A 19,310-nucleotide genomic window follows, 5' to 3' on the forward strand; every position below is an offset into this window, starting at 1 on the left:
TTAAACTAGTTTACAGTCCCACCAACAGTGTAAAAGTGTTCCTATTTCTCCACATCCTCTCCAGCACCTGTTGTTTCCTGACTTTTTAATGATTGCCATTCTAACTGGTGTGAGATGGTATCTCATTGTGGTTTTGATTTGCATTTCTCTGATGGCCAGTGATGATGAGCATTTTTTCAAGTGTTTTTTGGCTGCCTAAATGTCTTCTTTTGAAAAGCGTCTGTTCATATCCTTCACCCATTTTTTGATGGGGTTGTTTGTTTTTTTCTTGTAAACTTGTTTGAGTTCATTGTAGATTCTGGATATTAGCCCTTTATCAGATGAGTAGGTTGCAAAAATGTTCTCCCATTCTCTAGGTTGCCTGTTCACTCCGATGGTAGTTTCTTTTGCTGTGCAGAAGCTCTTTAGTTTAATTAGATCCCATTTGTCAATTTTGTCTTTTGTTGCCATTGCTTTTGGTGTTTTAGACATGAAGTCCTTGCCCATGCCTATGTCCTGAATGGTAACGCCTAGGTTTTCTTCCAGGGTTTTTATGGTTTTAGGTCTAACATGTAAGTCTTTAATCCATCTTGAATTAATTTTTGTATAAGGTGTAAGGAAGGGATCCAGTTTCAGCTTTCTACATATGGCTAGCCAGTTTTCCCAGCACCATTTATTAAATAGGGAATCCTGTCCCCATTGCTTGTTTTTGTCAGGTTTGTCAAAGATCAGATAGTTGTAGATATGCGGCATTATTTCTGAGGGCTCTGTTCTGTTCCATTGGTCTATATCTCTGTTTGGTACCAGTACCATGCTGTTTTGGTTACTGTAGCCTTGTAGTATAGTTTGAAGTCAGGTAGCATGATGCCTCCAGCTTTGTTCTTTTGGCTTAGGATTGACTTGGCAATGTGGGCTCTTTTTTGGTTCCATATGAACTTTAAAGTATTTTTTTCCAATTCTGTGAAGAGAGTCATTGGTAGTTTGATGGGGATGGCATTGAATCTATAAATTACCTTGGGCAGTATGGCCATTTTCACGATATTGATTCTTCCTATCCATGAGCATGGAATGTTCTTCCGTTTGTTTGTATCCTCTTTTATTTCATTGAGCAGTGGTTTGTAGTTCTCCTTGAAGAGGTCCTTCACATCCCTTGTAAGTTGGATTCCTAGGTATTTTATTCTCTTTGAAGCAATTGTGAATGGGAGTTCACTCATGATTTGGTTCTCTGTTTGTCTGTTATTGGTATATAAGAATGCTTGTGATTTTTGCACATTGATTTTGTATCCTGAGACTTTGATGAAGTTGCTTATCAGCTTAAGGAGATTTTGGGCTGAGACAATGGGGTTTTCTAGATATACAATCATGTCATCTGCAAACAGGGACAATTTGACTTCCTCTTTTCCTAATTAATACCCTTTATTTCCTTCTCCTGCCTAATTGCCCTGGCCAGAACTTCCAACACTATGTTGAATAGGAGTGGTGAGAGAGGGTATCCCTGTCTTGTGCCAGTTTTCAAAGGGAATGCTTCCAGTTTTTGTCCATTCAGTATGATATTGGCTGTGCGTTTGTCATAGATAGCTCTTATTATTTTGAGATACATCCCATCAGTACCTAATTTATTGAGAGTTTTTAGCATGAAGGGCTGTTTAATTTTGTCAAAGGTCTTTTCTGCATCTATTGAGGTAATCATGTGGTTTTTGTCTTTGGTTCTGTTTATATGCTGGATTATGTTTATTGATTTGCGTATGTTAAACCAGCCTTGCATCCCAGGGATGAAGCCCACTTGATGGTGGTGGATAAGCTTTTTGATGTGCTGCTGGATTCGGTTTGCCAGTATTTTATTGAGGATTTTTGCATCAATGTTCATCAAGGATATTGGTCTAAAATTCTCTTTTTTGGTTGTGTCTCTGCCAGGCTTTGATATCAGGATGATGCTGGCCTCATAAAATGAGTTAGGGAGGATTCCCTCTTTTTCTATTGATTAGAAAAGTTTCAGAAGAAATGGTACCGGCTTCTCCTTGTACCTCTGGTAGAATTCAGCTGTGAATCCATCTGGTCCTGGACTTTTTTTGGTTGGTAAGATATTCATTATTGCCTCAATTTCAGATCCTGTTATTGGTCTATTCAGAGATTCAACTTCTTCCTGGATTAGTCTTGGGAGGGTGTATGTGTCAAGGAATTTATCCATTTCTTCTATATTTTCTAGTTTATTTGCGTAGAGGTGTTTATAGTATTCTCTGATGGTAGTTTGTATTTCTGTGGGATCAGTGATGATATCCCCTTTGTCATGTTTTATTGCGTCTATTTGATTCTTCTCCCTTTTCTTCTTTATTAGTCTTGCTAGCAGCCTATCAATTTTGTTGATCTTTTCCAAAAACCAGCTCCTGGATTTACTAATTTTTTGAAGGGTTTTTTTATGTCTCTATTTCCTTCAGTTCTGCTCTGATCTTGGTTATTTCTTGCCTTCTGCTAGCTTTTGAATGTGTTTGCTCTTGCTTCTCTAGTTCTTTTAATTGTGATGTTAGGGTGTCAATTTTAGATCTTTCCTGCTTTCTCTTGTAGGCATTTAGTGCTATAAATTTCCCTCTACACACTGCTTTGAATGTGTCCCAGAGATTCTGGTATGTTGTGTCTTTGTTCTCATTGGTTTCAAAGAACATCTTTATTTCTGGCTTCATTTCGTTATGTACCCAGTAGTCATTCAGGAGCAGGTTGCTCAGTTTCCATGTAGTAGAGCGGTTTTGAGTGAGTTTCTTAATCCTGAGTTCTAGTTTGATTGCACTGTGGTCTGAGAGACAGTTTGTTATAATTTCTGTTCTTTTACATTTGTTGAGGAGTGCTTTACTTCCAACTATGTGTTCAATTTTGGAATAGGTGTGATGTGGTGCTGAAAAGAATGTATATTCTGTTGATTTGGGGTGGAGAGTTCTGTAGATGTCTATTAGGTTCACTTGGTGCAGAGCTGAGTTCAATTCCTGGATATCCTTGTTAACTTTCTGTCTCGTTGATCTGTCTAATGTTGACAGTGGGGTGTTAAAGTCTCCCATTATTATTGTGTGGGAGTCCAAGTCTCTTTGTAGGTCACTCAGGACTTGCTTTATGAATCTGGGTGCTCCTGAATTGGGTGCATATATATTTAGGATAGTTAGCTCTTCTTGTTGAATTGATCCTTTTACCATTATGTAATGGCCTTCTTTGTCTCTTTTGATCTTTGTTGGTTTAAAGTCTGTTTTATCTGAGACTAGAATTGCAACCCCTGCCTTTTTTTGTTTTCCATTTGCTTGGTAGATCTTCCTCCATCCCTTTATTTTGAGCCTATGTGTGTCTCTGCATGTGAGATGGGTTTCCTGAATACAGCACACTGATGGGTCTTGACTCTTTATCCAATTTGCCAGTCTATGTCTTTTAAGTGGAGCATTTATACCATTTACATTTAAGGTTAATATTGTTATGTGTGAATTTGATCCTGTCATTATGATGTTAGCTGGTTATTTTGCTCTTTAGTTGATGCAGTTTCTTCCTAGCCTCGATGGTCTTTACAATTTGGCATGTTTTTGCAGTGGCTGGTACCAGTTGTTCCTTTCCATGTTCAGTGCTTCCTTCAGGAGCTCTTTTAGGGCAGGCCTGGTGGTGATGAAAATCTCTCAGCATTTCCTTTTCTGTAAAGTATTTTATTTCTCTTTCACTTATGAAGCTTATTTTACCCAGATATGAAATTCTGGGTTGAAAATTCTTTTCTTTAAGAATGCTGAATATTGGCCCCCACTCTCTTCTCACTTGTAGAGTTTCTGCTGAGAGATCAGCTGTTAGTCTGATGGGCTTCCCTTTCTGGGTAACCGGACCTTTCTCTCTGGCTGCCCTTAATATTTTTTCCTTCATTTCAACTTTGGTGAATCTGACAATTATGTTTCTTGGAGTTGCTCTTCTCTAGGAGTATCTTTGTGGAATTCTCTGTATTTCCTGAATTTGAATGTTGGCCTGCCTTGCTAGATTGGGGAAGTTCTCCTGGATAATATCCTGCAGAGTGTTTTCCAACTTGGTTCCATTCTCCCCATGACTTTCAGGTACACCAATCAGATGTAGATTTGGTCTTTTCACATAGTCCCATATTTCTTGGAAGCTTTGTTCATTTCTTTTTATTCTTTTTTCTATAAACTTCTCTTCTCGCTTCATTTCATTCATTTAGTCTTGCATCACTGATACCCTTTCTTCCAGTTGATCGCATCAGCTACTGAGGCTTGTGCATTCATCACTTAGTTCTCGTGCCATGGTTTTCAGCTCCATCTGGTCCTTTAAGGACTTCTCTGCATTGATTATTCTAGTTAGCCATTCGTCTAGTTTTTTTTCAAGGTTTTTAATTTCTTTGCCATTGGTTCGAATTTCCTCCTGTCGCTCAGAGTAGTTTGATCGTCTGAAGCTTTCTTCTCTCAACTTGTCAAAGTCATTCTCTGTCCAGCTTTGTTCCATTGCCAGTGAGGAGCCGCGTTCCTTTGGAGGAGGAGAGGCGCTCTGATTTTTAGAGTTTCCAGTTTTTCTGCTCTGTTTTTTCCCCATCTTTGTGGTTTTTATCTACCTTTGGTCTTTGATGATGGTGATGTACAGATGGGTTTTTGATGTGGATGTCCTTTCTGTTTGTTAGTTTTCCTTCTAACAGTCAGGACCCTCAGCTGCAGGTCTGTTGGAGTTTGCTGGAGGTCCACTCGAGACCCTGTTTGCCTGGGTATCAGCAGTGGTGGCTGCAGAACAGCAGCTATTGGTGCGCCGCAAATGCTGCTGCCTGATTGTTCCTCTGGAAGTTTTGTCTCAGAGGAGTACCCAGCCGTGTGAAGTGTCCGTCTGCCCCTACTGAGGGGTGCCTCCCAGTTAGGCTACTCGGGGGTCAGGGATCCACTTGAGGAGGCAGTCTGCTCTTTCTCAGATCTCCAGCTGCGTGCTGGGAGAACCACTACTCTCTTCAAAGCTGTCAGACAGGGACATTTAAGTCTGCAGAGGTTACTGCTGCCTTTTGTTTGTCTGTGCCCTGCCTCCAGAGATGGAGTCTACAGAGGCAGGCAGGCCTCCTTGAGCTGTGGTGGGCTCCACCCAGTTCGAGCTTCCTGGCCACTTAGTTTACCTACTCAAGCCTCGGCAATGGCAGGAGCCCCTCCCCAGCCTTGCTGCTGCCTTGCAGTTTGATCTCAGACTGCTGTGCTAGCAATGAGCGAGGCTCCCTGGGCGTAGGACCCTCCGAGCCAGGTGCAGGATATAATCTTCTAGTGTGCCGTTTGTTAAGCCCGTTGGAAAAGCACAGTATTAGGGTGGGAGTGACCCAATTTTCCAGGTGCCATCTGTCACTCCTTTCTTTGACTAGGAAAGGGAGTTCCCTGACCCCTTGAGCTTCCCAGGTGAGGTGATGCCTCGCCCTGCTTCGGCTCATGCACGGTGCCCTGCACCCACTGTCCTGCACCCACTGTCCGGCACTCCCCAGTGAGATGAACCCAGTACCTCAGTTGGAAATGCAGAAATCACCCATCTTCTGTGTCGCTGTCACTTGGAGCTGTAGACTGGAGATGTTCCAATTTGGCCATCTTGGCTCCACCCCCCTGAGATAACCCTAATCTCTTATACTCTAATATATAAAAGAGAAAGAAATATTAGCTGGCAATGTCATATAGAAGTAATTATGCCTTTGATGTCAGTAGACCCATTTCCTTTCTTTCCTTTTTCCTTCCTCCTCACTTTCTACTTCCTTCCTCTCCTCCTGTCTCTCATGTCTTCTCCTCTCCTTTCCTATTCCCTGGTCTCTGTTTTCTCTCCTGTTATTATTATTTTTTACTCTTTTTCCTTTGCTTTTCTACTGGTAGTAAATACAACAACAGGATAATTTCCAGTAAAATTCACTCCAGCTGAATTCAGCACACATTTACTGACTACTTAGTAGGCAAGAAGCCCATGATAGGGATTCTTGGACAAATCATAAAAAAAGAACTTTATCCTAACCTCAAGGAACTTGCACTCTAGGGGAGAAGGCAGTCCACTGGTATAACAAATGGAAAAATGAGCCAGGATAGTGATCGTTATAATAGAGGAGTAAGCAAAGGTCATGAAAGAGTTTTGAATTTTGTCTGCAAAGCATGATTGTAGGACTTGAGTTGGTCCTTGAAAGTAGAGATGAGTCCTCTTCATAGCATTCAGAGGAACCTGTCTTCTTCTCCAAGTAGAAGACTGCAGATCCTCTAATTATTTTTTCTTCTTTAGCATGAGTAAATCATAGCAATTTGTTGATTTTTCTATTTGATTTAGGAAGATTTATTTTTTAAATTTTAATTTCTAAAATTCCAATAGCTTTTGAAGTATAGTTTTTGGTTACATGGATGAATTGTATAGTGGTGATTTCTGAGATTTTAGTGCACCCACCACCTGAGTAGTATACACTGGACCCAATATATAGTTTGGTATCACTCATCCGTCTCCAACCCTCCCCACTTCTGAGTCTCCAATGTTCATTATACCACTCTGCATGTCTTTGCATACCCATAGCTTAGCTCCTATTTGTAAGGGAGAATATATGGCATTTGGTTTTCCATTCCTGAGTTCCTTCAATAAGGGCCTCCAGCTCCATCCAAGTTACTGCAAAAGACATTATTTCATTCTTTTTTATGCCTGAGTAGTATTTCGTGGTGTATATATACCACTTTTCTTTATCCACTCATTGGTTAATGGGCACTTAGGTTGCTTCCATATCTTTGCAACTGTGAATTGTGCTGTAATGAACATTTGTATGCAAGTATCTTTTTGATATAATGACTTCTTTTCCTTTGGGTAGATACCTGTAGTGGGATTGCTGGATCAAATGGTAGATCTACTTTTAGTTCTTTGACAAATCTTCATACTATTTTCCCTAGAAGTTGTATTAATTTACATTTCCACCAGAGGTGTATTAAGTGTTCCCTTTTGCAGCACATCCCCATCAACAACTATTTTGTTTTGGCTTTTTAGTAATGGCCATTCTGGCTAGGATAAGGTTGTATCTCAATGTGGTTTTAATTTGCATTTCCCTGAGGATTAATGATGTGGAGCATCTTTTTCATGTTTGTTTGCTGTTTGTATCTCTTCTTTTGAGAAGTGTCAATTCATGTAATTTGCCCACTTTTTGATGGGATTATTTGTTTTTTTTCTTGTTGATTTGTTTATATGCCTTGTAGATTCTAAATATTAGTCTTTTGTGGATGCATAGTTTGCAAATATTTCATCCCATTCTGGGAGTTTTCTGTTTACTCTGATGATTATTTCTTTTGCTATGAAGAAGAAGCTCTTCAGTTTAATTAAGTTCCATTTATTTATTTTTGTTTTTGTTACATTTTCTTTTGAGGTCTTAGTCATAAATTCTTTGCCTAGGCCAACATATAGAAGAGTTTTTCCTAGGTTTTCTTCTAGCATTTTTATGGTTTCAGGTGTTATATTTAAGTCTTTAATTCATCTTAAGTTCATTTTTGTATATGGGGAGAGATGGGGATCCAATATCATTCTTCCACATGTGGCTAGTCAGTTTCCCCAGCACCATTTATTAAACAAGATGTCCTTTCCCCAATTTATGTTTTCGTATGCCTGTAGATCAGTTGTTGGTAAGTATTTGGCTTTATTTCTGGCTTCTCTATTCTCTTCCATTAGTCTATGCATCTGCTTTTATACAAGTACCATGCTGTTTTGATACTATAACCTTGTAGTATAATTTGAAATCAGGTAATGTGATGCCTCTAGATTTGTTCTTTTTGGTTAGAATTGCCTTGGCTATTTGGGTTCTTTTTTGGCTCCATATGAATTTTATGATTTTTTTCCTAATTCTGTGGAAAATGATGTTGGTGTTTTGATAAGGAATTGCACTGAATCTGTAGATTGCTTTGGGAAGTATGTACCTTTTCATGATACTGATTCTTGTAACCCATGAGTATGGGATGGATTTTTATTTGTTTGTGTCATCTATTTCTTTCAGCAGTGTTTTGTAGTTATCCTTGTAGAGATATTTTACATCCTTGGTTAAGTATATTCTAAGGTGGTTTTTTCTTTCTTTTTGTTTTGTAAAAGGAATTGAGTTCTTGATTTGATTCTCAACTTGTGATTTACCAAGATTTAGACTGTTATTGTTTTCAATTGCTTTTTATTGTAAATATATAGTGTTCAGCTGTTACTATGATAAAATATATATTCAACATCCTTTTAATAGAGCAGGCTTCATATCTGAAATAAAAAAAGAAGAGGAGAAACAGTATGAGACTTCAAGTTCAGAAACTTGAATTACCTTTAGATTCTGCTTCAAACTAGTTTTATTACTGTGGGAAAATCAACCCAGTTGATATGGTTTGGCTGTGGCCCCACTAAAATCTCATTTTAAATTGTAGCTTGCATAATTTCCATGTGTTGTGAGAGGCACCCAGCGAGAGGTAATTGAATCATGGGGGTGGGTCTTTCCTGTGCTGTTCTTGTGATAGTGAATAAGTCTCATGAGATCTGACAGTTTTATAAAGGGAAGTTCCCCTGCACATCCTCTCTTGCCTGCCACCATGTAAGATGTGACTTTGCTCCTCCTTCTCCTTCTGCTGTGATTGTCAGGCCTCCCCAGCCACATGGAACTGTGAGTCAATCAAACCTCTTTTCTTCATAGATGACCCAGTCTCAGGTATGTCTTTATTTGCAGTGTGAGAACAGACAAATACACCAGTCCCTGGACTGATACCTGAAAAAAGAGGAGATAAGGTTAGTTGACCTAAGGATCATTTCCTCTGCCAAGCAACTTTGTTTTCACATTCTTTGTACCACTAAAAACATTTGCAATGCTCTTTCTAATTCTAAAGCAGCAAAATTATAACTTTAAAATATTGGAACCTTGCTATGCATGGTTTGAATACATCTCTCAAAGTTTATGTGTTGGAAATTTAATCCCAATGCAACAGTGTTGTGAGATGGGACTTTTAAGACGTGATTAGCTAGGTCATGAGGTCTCTGACCTCATGAATGGATTAATGTGGTTACCAAGGGAGTGGGTTCCTAAGAAAAGGATGAGTTTGTTCCCCTTTTCCCAACCCCTCTCATCTTTCTTGAATGTGTGTGCTCTTTTGATCTTTTATTTCCTGCCATGGGATGATACAGCAAGAAGGCTCACCAGATTCTCGTACTTTGGTATTAAACTAGGCGTCCAGGATATTAAGAAGTAAGTATATATTGTTTATAAATTACCCAGTCTGTGGCATTCTGTTATAGCATCACAAAATGGACTAAAACAAATCTTATGTGAATAAGGAATTTCTTACACCTTTCCCCATATAAACCCAGTATGAAGATTTCCTTTTCCCTTGCAATGACAGCAGCAGCCAGTGATGTAGGGACAGGAGGTTAGAGAACTCTCTAAGGACTGAATGCACAGCAGCCATTGCTGTGGACAATAAGGTAAGGCAGGATAATACACCTCAAAGCTTAATACAATGACCAAGCTTTGGTTAATGTTTCTTGATTAAAAATCCTCGAGAGATATAAGCTATAAATTGCTAATATGAAAGTGTAAACAATAGCTACTTTTCTGTATGTCATCAAGCATGCTGCACTTTAAAATTGAGAGAATGGTTTGAAAGTTATCCCTTTAGGAATTTAGAAAGAGCTTAAGAATATAATCTTGGCCAGGCATGGTGACTCATACCTGTAATTTGAGCACTTTGGGGAGCCTCGGTTGGAGGATCACTTGAGCCCAGGAGTTTGAGACTAGCCTGGGTAACATGGTGAAACCCCGTCTCGACAAAAAATAATTAAAAAAAAGTAGCCCACCCACCATGGTGGTGCGTGCCTGTCATCCCAACTACTCAGGAGGTTGAGACCAAGCGCGGGGTGGGGTGGGGGGCGGGGGTTGGGGAGATTACTTGAGTCCAGGAGAGAAGCTGCAGTGAGCTGTGATTGCATCACTGCACTTCAGCCAGGGAGACAGAGCGAGACCCTGTCTCAAAAGAAAAAAAAAAAATTAATCCCTCTAGAATTTGCAAATGATTTAAAAAATGATTTCACTCTCAAGTGATAGAAAATTAAATTCCCTGTGGATAAGTAATTTACTAGTATGGTATTTCTCAGAGCCTCTTTTATTAGGCATATCTAGCTTTGCTACTGACAGTTGCTGAGAAAAGAACAGCCTATCTTTATAATTTGGGGTAGTGAGAGAAATAACAGAGCCCTTTACCTCTGAGGACGTTACCTGGTGGCTTGGCGTCATGATAATTGGGGCCTTCTGCTTTTTGGAGCTCATTATACCTTGGCCAGAACTTTTAGGACTAGATTTTAAGTGTCAGCTCCTGGACCTGTAAGTCATGTTAGTGAGAAATGAGACATGAGACATCGTGTTTTTTTTTTTGTTTTTTTTTTTAACTGAAGAACTCACTTTTTATGGCAGCTAAACAATTCAAAGGAGGATACTTTCATTATCTCAACTTCTTATAATGAATGACTTGGATCTCATAATTGCCCAGGTAAATAATCTTAGAAGAAAAAGTTATTAGTATTATATTTTTAAGGATTAAAATACAATTTCATTGCCTCTGAATGATTCTCTTACATTTTGAATTTTTTTTCCTTTTTTAAAAAAGAAATAAACATGTTCCCATTGTCTTTTGTTTACTTTTATAGGATTAAAAACATACTTTTGATTCCTGCTTTTGGTAGTTTCAATGGCCTCTAGATGTGCCATAAAAATGTGAATATTCTCATGTTACAGTTAGAGACTTTAGAATCCTAGAAATGGTCATTAAGTTTTATAGAAATACTTTGTTAGGTGAAACTGTTCAAAAACATTTAAATCAAAAAGTGATAGTAAAATATTAGATACAGTTTCAAATAGTAAATTTTCTGGTTACCAATAGTGTTCAAATATCATAGGAATATTTGCTGGAAAAGAAGCAAATAAAAAATAAAGTAGATCTAAAACAAAACATAACTTTCATTGCTGGTGCTAGTATTCATATATGTAACTCTTCATCTGCTTCTGTAGTGCACAGAAATGAGTACAGAAGCTTAGAAAGATAAACCTGGCACTCATTTCCATAGTTTGTACTTACTAAAAGAGGAAGTAGATATATATCCATTAATATTAGAGATTTTTTTACCAGTAAGATTATTTAATCCATCTGAGCCTTAGTTACATCATCTGTAAGATTGTTAGTTGTATAGATTAAGTGAATAATGCAAAGAAAATATGTTGTACCAAGTTAGCATTATTTGTTATCTGGCATTTTTGCTGTTATTGCTCTTGTTGACATAATTATACCAAAACAGCCTAATGAGACCACATCATTCCAGCAACTTTCTGCTCATTGAGGTCTTAATATTATGATTTCTGCTTTTAAGAAAATGCTTGTAAGCTTTGTAAAATGTTGGAACCAAACAATCTTAACATAGGGCTAATTTTAAGAGAAAGTGTTATGTATGTAATGTGTAGTTTTTGTTCTAGCTGAGTTTTAAGGTTCTTTTTATCACTTATTTTAAGCAATTTGGTTATGTTGCAGCTTGGTGTACTTTTCTTCATGTTTCTTTTGTTTGAAGTTTAGTAAGTTGCTTGAATATGTTAATTTATAATTTTTATCAAATTTGGAAATATTTTAGCCAGTATGTTTCCAATTTTATTTTTATCTCCTCTTCTTTCTTCTGCTTCACTTCATCAGGGACTCCAGTGATACGTATAGTAGGCCACTTGAAGTTGACTTATAACTCGCTGATGCTCTGTTAATTTTTCATCCTTTTGTATTTTATTTTGGATATTTTCTATTGCTTTGTCTCCAATATTTCTTTCAGCATTGTCTAAACTGATGTACCACCTGGTGTATTTTTTGTTTTTCTGTCCTCAGATGGAGTCTCACTCTGTTGCCCAGGCTGGGGTGCGGGGGTGCCATCTCATCTCACTGCAGCCTACACCTCCTGGGTTCAAGCGATTCTCCTGCCTCAGCCTCCCCAGTAGCTGGGATTACAGGCGCCCACCACCATGCCTGGCTAATTTTTATATTTTTAGTAGCGGCGGGGTTTCACCATGTTGGCCAGACTGGTCTCAAACTCCTGACATCAAGTGATCCATCTGTCTTGGCCTCCCAAAGTGCTGGGATTACAGGTGTGAGCCATTGTGACTGGCCTGTATTTTTTATTTCACACAATTGTTTTCATTTCTAGAAGTTTTATTTGGAGACCTTATATATACCTTTTGTGTCTCTATCTAATTGGATCAATTTTTCCTCTAGCTTCTTTAGTATCTGTAATAGAGTTATAAAGACTGTTTTAATGTTCTTGTCTATTAATTCTATCATCTGTGTCATTTCTTAATATGCTTCCATTTGTTTTTTCTTATTATTGTTGATTGTATTTTCTGCTTTTTTGAATGCTTTCCCTCCATTAGATAGTAGATATTGTGAATTTTATTTTGTTGGGTGTTAGATACTCTTGAGCTTTGTTCTGTGATTCACTTGTTATTTTGAAACAATTTGATCCTTTCGAAGCTTGCTTGTAAGTTTTGTAAAATGTAGGGACCAGACAATCTTAATATAAGGCTAATTTGGTATATTCTTTTGAGTATATCTGATGTCCCATGAAATATAAAGCTTTCCACTCTGGCTGGTTGAAAATATGAGTTATTCCTAAACCTGTGTGAACTTTGGAGATTATTGATTCTTTTCTTTTTGCATGGTTTGTTTCCCAGCTTCAGTTTTCCTTATATGCATATCCTAGTAGGTACTCAACTGAATTCTAGAGGGGAACACTCTGGAGATCTTCAGAGTTTTCTCTGTATGCACCTCTCTCCTGTCCAGTATTCTTCCACTTAAACTGTATCCACTTTGCCATTCCCAGACTCCCAGCTCCATCTCTCCAACTCAAGGATACCTCCAGCCTCCTTCTGGTTTCTCTTTCCTGTGCTGAAACTTAGAAACTTTCTCCAGAAAGTAAGCTTGGGCAATCATTGGGGCTAACCTCATAGTTTTTCCCTCTCTCAGAGATCAATTCCTGCATCAATGGTGTCCAGTGTCTGAAAGCTGATATTTCTTAGACTATAAGAATCTGGGTTGCTTTTTTTTTTCAGTTGTTTCAGTGGAAGGGTAAATTCAGTTCCTGTTACTTTATCTTTGTCAGCATCAGAAGTCTGCCAAGATTCTTATATGTATTTATGCTGTTCTAGTCTTATGAACTTCTGCTACCTATTTTGCTCCCAGGAATAGTAGCGTATAAGTTGGGAATATGTTTCCCTTCCCCTCCCACCAAAACCCCAAATAATGAACCCCCAAACAAAAAACAAACTCAGAAAGCACTCAACAGTTGCCTAAATCTATAATGTTTTTGTTTTCTTGTACAAAGCTCACCTGGAGACAGGTAGCCTGGGCTAAAACAGCTCTTCAGTAATGTATTATGGATCTATGCTCTTTTTCTTTTTTACTATCTTTAGCATGTTATTTGACCTTTAGTTACAAGATAACTGCTACATATCCAGAGCTCATGTTTGCATTCCAGGCAGGAAGAAGGTAAAATACAAAACTTTCTTCATGTGGGAGTTTACATTTTCAATTTGGAAAGAGAAGACATTCACAGTGAATTTCATTCACATATTGTTGGTAAGAACTTGGTCACATAGCCACTCTTCACTGCAGTGTAGGTTGGGAAACCATGTATTTTAGTAGTTTCAATGCTTCTCAAAAGAGGAAGGTAAGGAAGAAAAGGACTGTGAATATCTTTCAAATAGAGCATCTATGGTATCTATTAGAATAATAATTCTGTCATGTTCCCAACGTTTAAGGATACGTAAGATTGCCACAAGCCTAAATCTGGAACTATGACTAAAGATCTGTGGGAGCCAGAAGTAGCCACTTACTTCCCATGTTTGATAACATTTTTCTTCTGTTAGTCAGTCTTCCATATGTAAATCATGAACAGTGAATGAGAGTAGAGGCAGGATGATAAAATTAGTTTGGGTTATAAAAGATAAATTCAAATAGAGACTATACTTTATATTATTGTCCTAATTTATTAGTTTTACTCCATGTTGAATTATCATTTTATTTAATTCAGAAGCTCTCAAAGGTATTCATTTTTTCAACTCTTATTTAAGCTTTTGGGCTTCTTGATCAAAGATGTACAGATGCATATATTCATGTATACCTGCGAGTATGTGCATGCATACACACACACAATAACTTTGATGCTGTTTTGATAATAAAATTTTTGGTAACACATTTTCTTTGTTTAAAAAATCCTAGTGTAATGATATACAAGGAGAACCACACATAGGCTAGCTGATGAAACATATGTTTTAGTGTGAGAAGCAAGATATCAAGGGATAGGCTCTAAGCATAATTATTAATGATAATCTTTAATGTGCTCTTTCCAGGCTGGGGCTGGTTAGTAACAAGACTTTTGTTTTTCTTTTTGAGGATTATAAGTGTGAGGTGAGAGCGGAATTATTTGGGAAAATATAGGAGTTTGGAAAAAAATGCAGTGAAATGAGAAAGTTCGATGGTTGCTGGTTGAGGACTTTGGGAGACAAATGTCTAACTGAGATTGGACTTTATTTTTAAAATATGAAAATTATCAGACATATATAAAATAGAGATAATTGTATAATGAATGATTGTATATGTTTACATCCTAGTTTTAATAATTATCAAGTTATTGCTCATCACGTTTTATTTCTATCCCTATTTACTTCATTCGTGTATTATTTTGAAGCAAATACCAGATATTATATAATTCATTCCTAAATATTGTACATTTTTTTTCCTAAAAGGTAAGGGTTCAAAAGAGTATGCCAAGAAAAAATAAGACCTAGTCAGAGCTCAATTTTCTCATAGTATCATTATATTTAGAGTTTGTTTAAATAAGATCAAGTTATGACTCATCTATTGCAATTAGTTGATATGTCTCCTTTTTTTTTTTTTTTTTTTTGAGATGGAGTCTCGCTCTGTTGCCCAGGCTGGAGTGCAGTGGCGTGATCTCAGCTCACTGCAAGCTCTGCCTCCTGGGTTCACACCATTCTCCTGCCTCAGCCTCCCGAGTAGCTGAGACTACAGGTGCCCACCACCACGCCTGGCTAATTTTTTGTATTTTTTAGTAGAGACGGGGTTTCACCGTGTTAGCCAGGATGGTCTTGATCTCCTGACCTCGTGATCCACCCACCTCGGCCTCCCAAAGTGCTGGGATTACAGGCGTGAGCCACTGCACCTGGCCAATATGTCTCTTAAATCTCTTTAAATATATATATTTTAATTGGGACTTTATTAATTTGATTTCTATGTAAAGAGTGAAAAAATTTCTCCCTCATTGTCAAATTGAATCATCAATACAATCTAAATAATTTAGTTGTGCTATTTGGAACATATTAGTTTTTGATGCAATGAAATAATCATAGTATGAGAAAAAAAGCAGTATCAAGGAAAAGAAAAAAGTAAGTTTAAAGACATCAATACTGTACAATTCAGCTATAAACACTTATAAAGACAAATTGATACAATCTAAGAAGGAATTCCTTAAAAAGCACGCATGGATGTAAGTCTGTATACCTTATTTGCATTATAAATTGGCAAAGTATCTCATTGTACAGTTATGGTATTTAGACAGATTTGTGGTTGTAAAGTTGGCACTTAAATATTTATCTTGTCTGTCAAGAAATATCACTTAAAATTTATTAAATAAGTACTATGCACTTTTAAATGTATACAGTTTTATTTAGGTATTGAATTAGCAATTCTCACAGGGGCCATTTTGTTTCAATTTGTGCTGACTTCATTGTTGGATATAACTTTCTCCACTGCAGGAATATCACCAGGCTAATTACTAGGAAATCTCTCTCTTTTTTTTTTGGTATATGGAGTAATATGTATGGATGAAAGGACCTTAAAATTGGAGGATTTTTCAATCTAAAATTAGATGCTCATACAAGAGAACCTCTTTCCTACTATAGACTCCCTTCTCCTTCCCCTAATCCCCATCCTGTTCTTAGCAGATGGTGACTGGGCTTATGCTAAAAACTTCCAGGGACAGAGACTTTGCTACTTGTACACAGGAAGACTATTCCATTTTGACGCAACTCAAATTACTAGAAAGTTCAACCTTATGAGACAATTTCTTTAATTTTGAAAATCATATCTTTGGCCATACTTCTGTTCTTTGTAGTAGGAAAAATTTATGTTCTCTCTTCTGTATAGTGGTATTTAAAATATTTAAAAAGATTTTCAGAAATGCTCTACACCTCAAAGATTTTTTATTTTCTAGGGAAAAAGTTTCTAAATGATCTCTTAATAGTTCCTTTAATAATTTGATTTCCAACTCTCTTACTGTCTTTCTCACTTTCTCTGAATGATTGATAGTGTTTAGAGGCCCCTCTATGTTATCAATAACTGATCAGAATATTTCATACTGATACGAACATCAAATTTCTCTTAGTTTAGCCTAAGATGTAAGGTTTTAAACTTTGCAGTTCAATTGCATTGTGTTTCTATGCTCAAATTAACTCATAGATTTTTTTACTTGAACTGCCAAAATATAAGACCCTCCTTAATTTATATTTGAGTGAAAGAGATTTTAAATCCAATTAAAATCAACCCATCAAAAAGTGGGTGAAGGATATGAACAGACACTTCTCAAAAGAAGACATTTATGTGGCCTACAAACATATGAAAAAAAGCTCATCATCACTGGTCATTAGAAAAATGCAAATCAAAACCACAATGGGATGCCATATCATGCCAGTCAGAATGGCGATCATTAAAAAGTCAGGAAACAACAGTTGTTGGAAAGGATGTGGAGAAATAGGAACTCTTTTACACTGTTGGTGGGAGTGTAAGTTAGTTCAACCATTGTGGAAGACAGTGTGGCAATTCCTCAAGGTTCTAGAACCAGAAATACCATTTAACCCAGCAATCCCATTACTGGGTATATACCCAAAGGATTATAAATCATTCTACTATAAAGACACATGCACACATATGTTTATTGCGGCACTATTCACAGTAGCGAAGACTTGGAACCAACCCAAATGTCCATCAGCGATAGACTGGATAAAGAAAATGTGGCACATATACACCATGGAATACCATGCAGCCATAAAAAAGGATGAGTTTATGTCCTTTGCAGGGACATGGATGAAGCTGGAAACCATCATTCTCAGCCAACTAACACAAGAACAGAAAACCAAACACTGCATGTTCTCATTCATAAGTGGGAGTTGAACAATGAGAACACATGGACACAGGGAGGGGAACATCACACACTGGGGCCTGTCAGGGGTGGGTGGCTGGGGGAGGGATAGCATTAGGAGAAATACCTAATGCAGATGATGGGTTGATGGGTGCAGCAAACCACCATGGCACATGTATACCTATGTAACAAACCTGCACGTTCTGCACATTTACCCCAGAACTTAAAGTATAATAATAATTAAAAAAACGTAGCCTAGTGATGTCAGCAAGATGGTAGAATAGGATTGTTTGTGCTCATCCCTTTGCAGAAACATCAGTTTGAAAAACTCAGTGTGCAAAAATACCTTCATAAGAGCTAAGGAATTTAGGTGAGAGATTATAGCACCTGGGTATAATACAGAAATAAGAACAAAAAAATCATTGAAGAGATTAGGAATGACAGTTTCAAATTACACATGGCACCCTTTCCCACAGCCTAGCTAGCACAGCACAGAGAAAGATATACTCTGCTTCTGAGTAGGAGAGTGAAGTGAGCACCAGACTTTGTTGTGGACCTGACCACCAGGCCTGCCCCAATAAAACTGAGTGCCAGCCTTGTGCTCAAGGCTTCAGGTTTTAGATTGGCACTTGTGAATTGAGCTTCCAGGTCTTCTCCAATGCTAGACCAGACCCAGCGGCCTCAGGCTCCAGGCCACACCTACAGACTCAGACTCCAGACTGGGCCTCACAAATCCAGGCACATCATTATCCCTTGCAGACTTAGGCACCAGTCCTGCCTGCCTGAAGGCTCCAACAGCAAGCCTACTCATGATCTCTGAATGAGCTGACTGAAGAAGGGCTTTGCTGACCAAAGCCAATCTGTAAAGACCAGAATAAGTACCAGCTTCTTCAAATGTGCAGACACCAATGCATGGCCACAAAGATCAGAAATAATCAGGGAAACATTATATCACCAAAGGAATAAAATGAAGCTCCAGTAACCTTAAAAATGGAAATGCGTGAACTACCTGATAAATAATTCAAAATAATCATTTTAGTGAGATATAAGAGAACACAGATAAGCAACTAAATAAAATCAGAAAAGCAAAACACAAATGAGAAGTACAATAAAGAGATATAAATCACAAAAAACAAAGCAGAAATTTTAGAACCAAAGAATACAATGCATGAAACAAAAAATTTCATAGCTTCAACAGCAGACTTGATAAAGCATAAGAATTTGAAATTACTCAGAGAAATAAAAAGAAAAAATTGAAAAGAATAAGGAAAGCCTGTGATGGGACACCAGCAAATGAACCAATATACGTATTATGGGTGTTGCAGAAGAAGCAGAGAAAAAGAAAGGAGGCAGAAGCTGTTTAAATAAAGATCCCCAGATCTAAAGAAAATGAACATCCAGATCCATGAAGCCCAAGAAATCCCAAATAGGAGTTAAGTTAAATGTGATTTAACTCCAATTGAAGCTTTGACTTCCGTTAACTTGGCTAGGCACTTGCTCACTACTCTCATCTGTCTTGCCTAATTTTGCTTCTTTTAACTTTTCCTTCAAAAGTAATTCTCATTCATGGAGAGGTTGGAAGCCACTTAAGATTGAATCACCCAGCTTTATCCCTTTTATCTGTTATCAATGACCCCCTTGCAACACTGACATATTGTTCTTTTTCTAAGTCCTTCCTTCAAGCATTGTCCTCACAGTCCTGTGGTCTTTCATGCTTGCGTGCCTCACTGCCTTCTAAGTTTTGAACACCCCTGGATAATTCTTAGAGTCTCTTGCTTCTGTTTTGTATTTGTCCTTGAATATGAAGTACTCGAAAAAGAGAGGAAAGGTCCCACCAAGAGAAGAATTTAAATGTTGTTCCCCCCTTTATGCCAACTCTTTCTTTTGCACACCTAATAAAAACTTCACACGATAAGCTTCCATGGAAAGTATTTATTGAACACATACTGTATCTTCAGTTAAACTAGACTTCTTTATTCAGTCCAGCTTTCCCCATGTTGTCCCATTTTCTAAGGTATCCAATATTCCATATGGCAAGACCAAAATGAAATAATCTGATACAATTTTCTCTGTATCTGCCCTCCAGTTTCAGTTGTTACTAATACCGGGTAGATGTGTATTTTCAGAGAAACTTTTGAAGACCTAAATTCCAATCT

General features: G+C 37.6%; 1 long non-coding RNA gene across 2 annotated transcripts in view; it reads left to right on the forward strand.

Moving 5' to 3' along the window:
• Positions 1–19,310, forward strand: part of LOC105374739 (uncharacterized) — a 90,060-nt gene that overhangs the window by 2,511 nt on the left and 68,239 nt on the right. Inside the window, exons 2-3 of one of the 2 annotated variants that reach the window (XR_001742650.2) lie at positions 8,654–8,712; positions 9,106–9,166. This is a non-coding gene — a long non-coding RNA (uncharacterized LOC105374739). Of the gene's footprint in view, positions 1–8,653; positions 8,713–9,105; positions 9,167–10,361; positions 10,464–19,310 lie in introns of those variants that run through there. The other variant, XR_001742651.2, reaches the window with a different exon arrangement.

Source organism: Homo sapiens, chromosome 5 (assembly GCF_000001405.40).
Source record: "Homo sapiens chromosome 5, GRCh38.p14 Primary Assembly".
In the NCBI taxonomy this organism is placed as follows: Eukaryota; Metazoa; Chordata; class Mammalia; order Primates; family Hominidae; genus Homo; species Homo sapiens.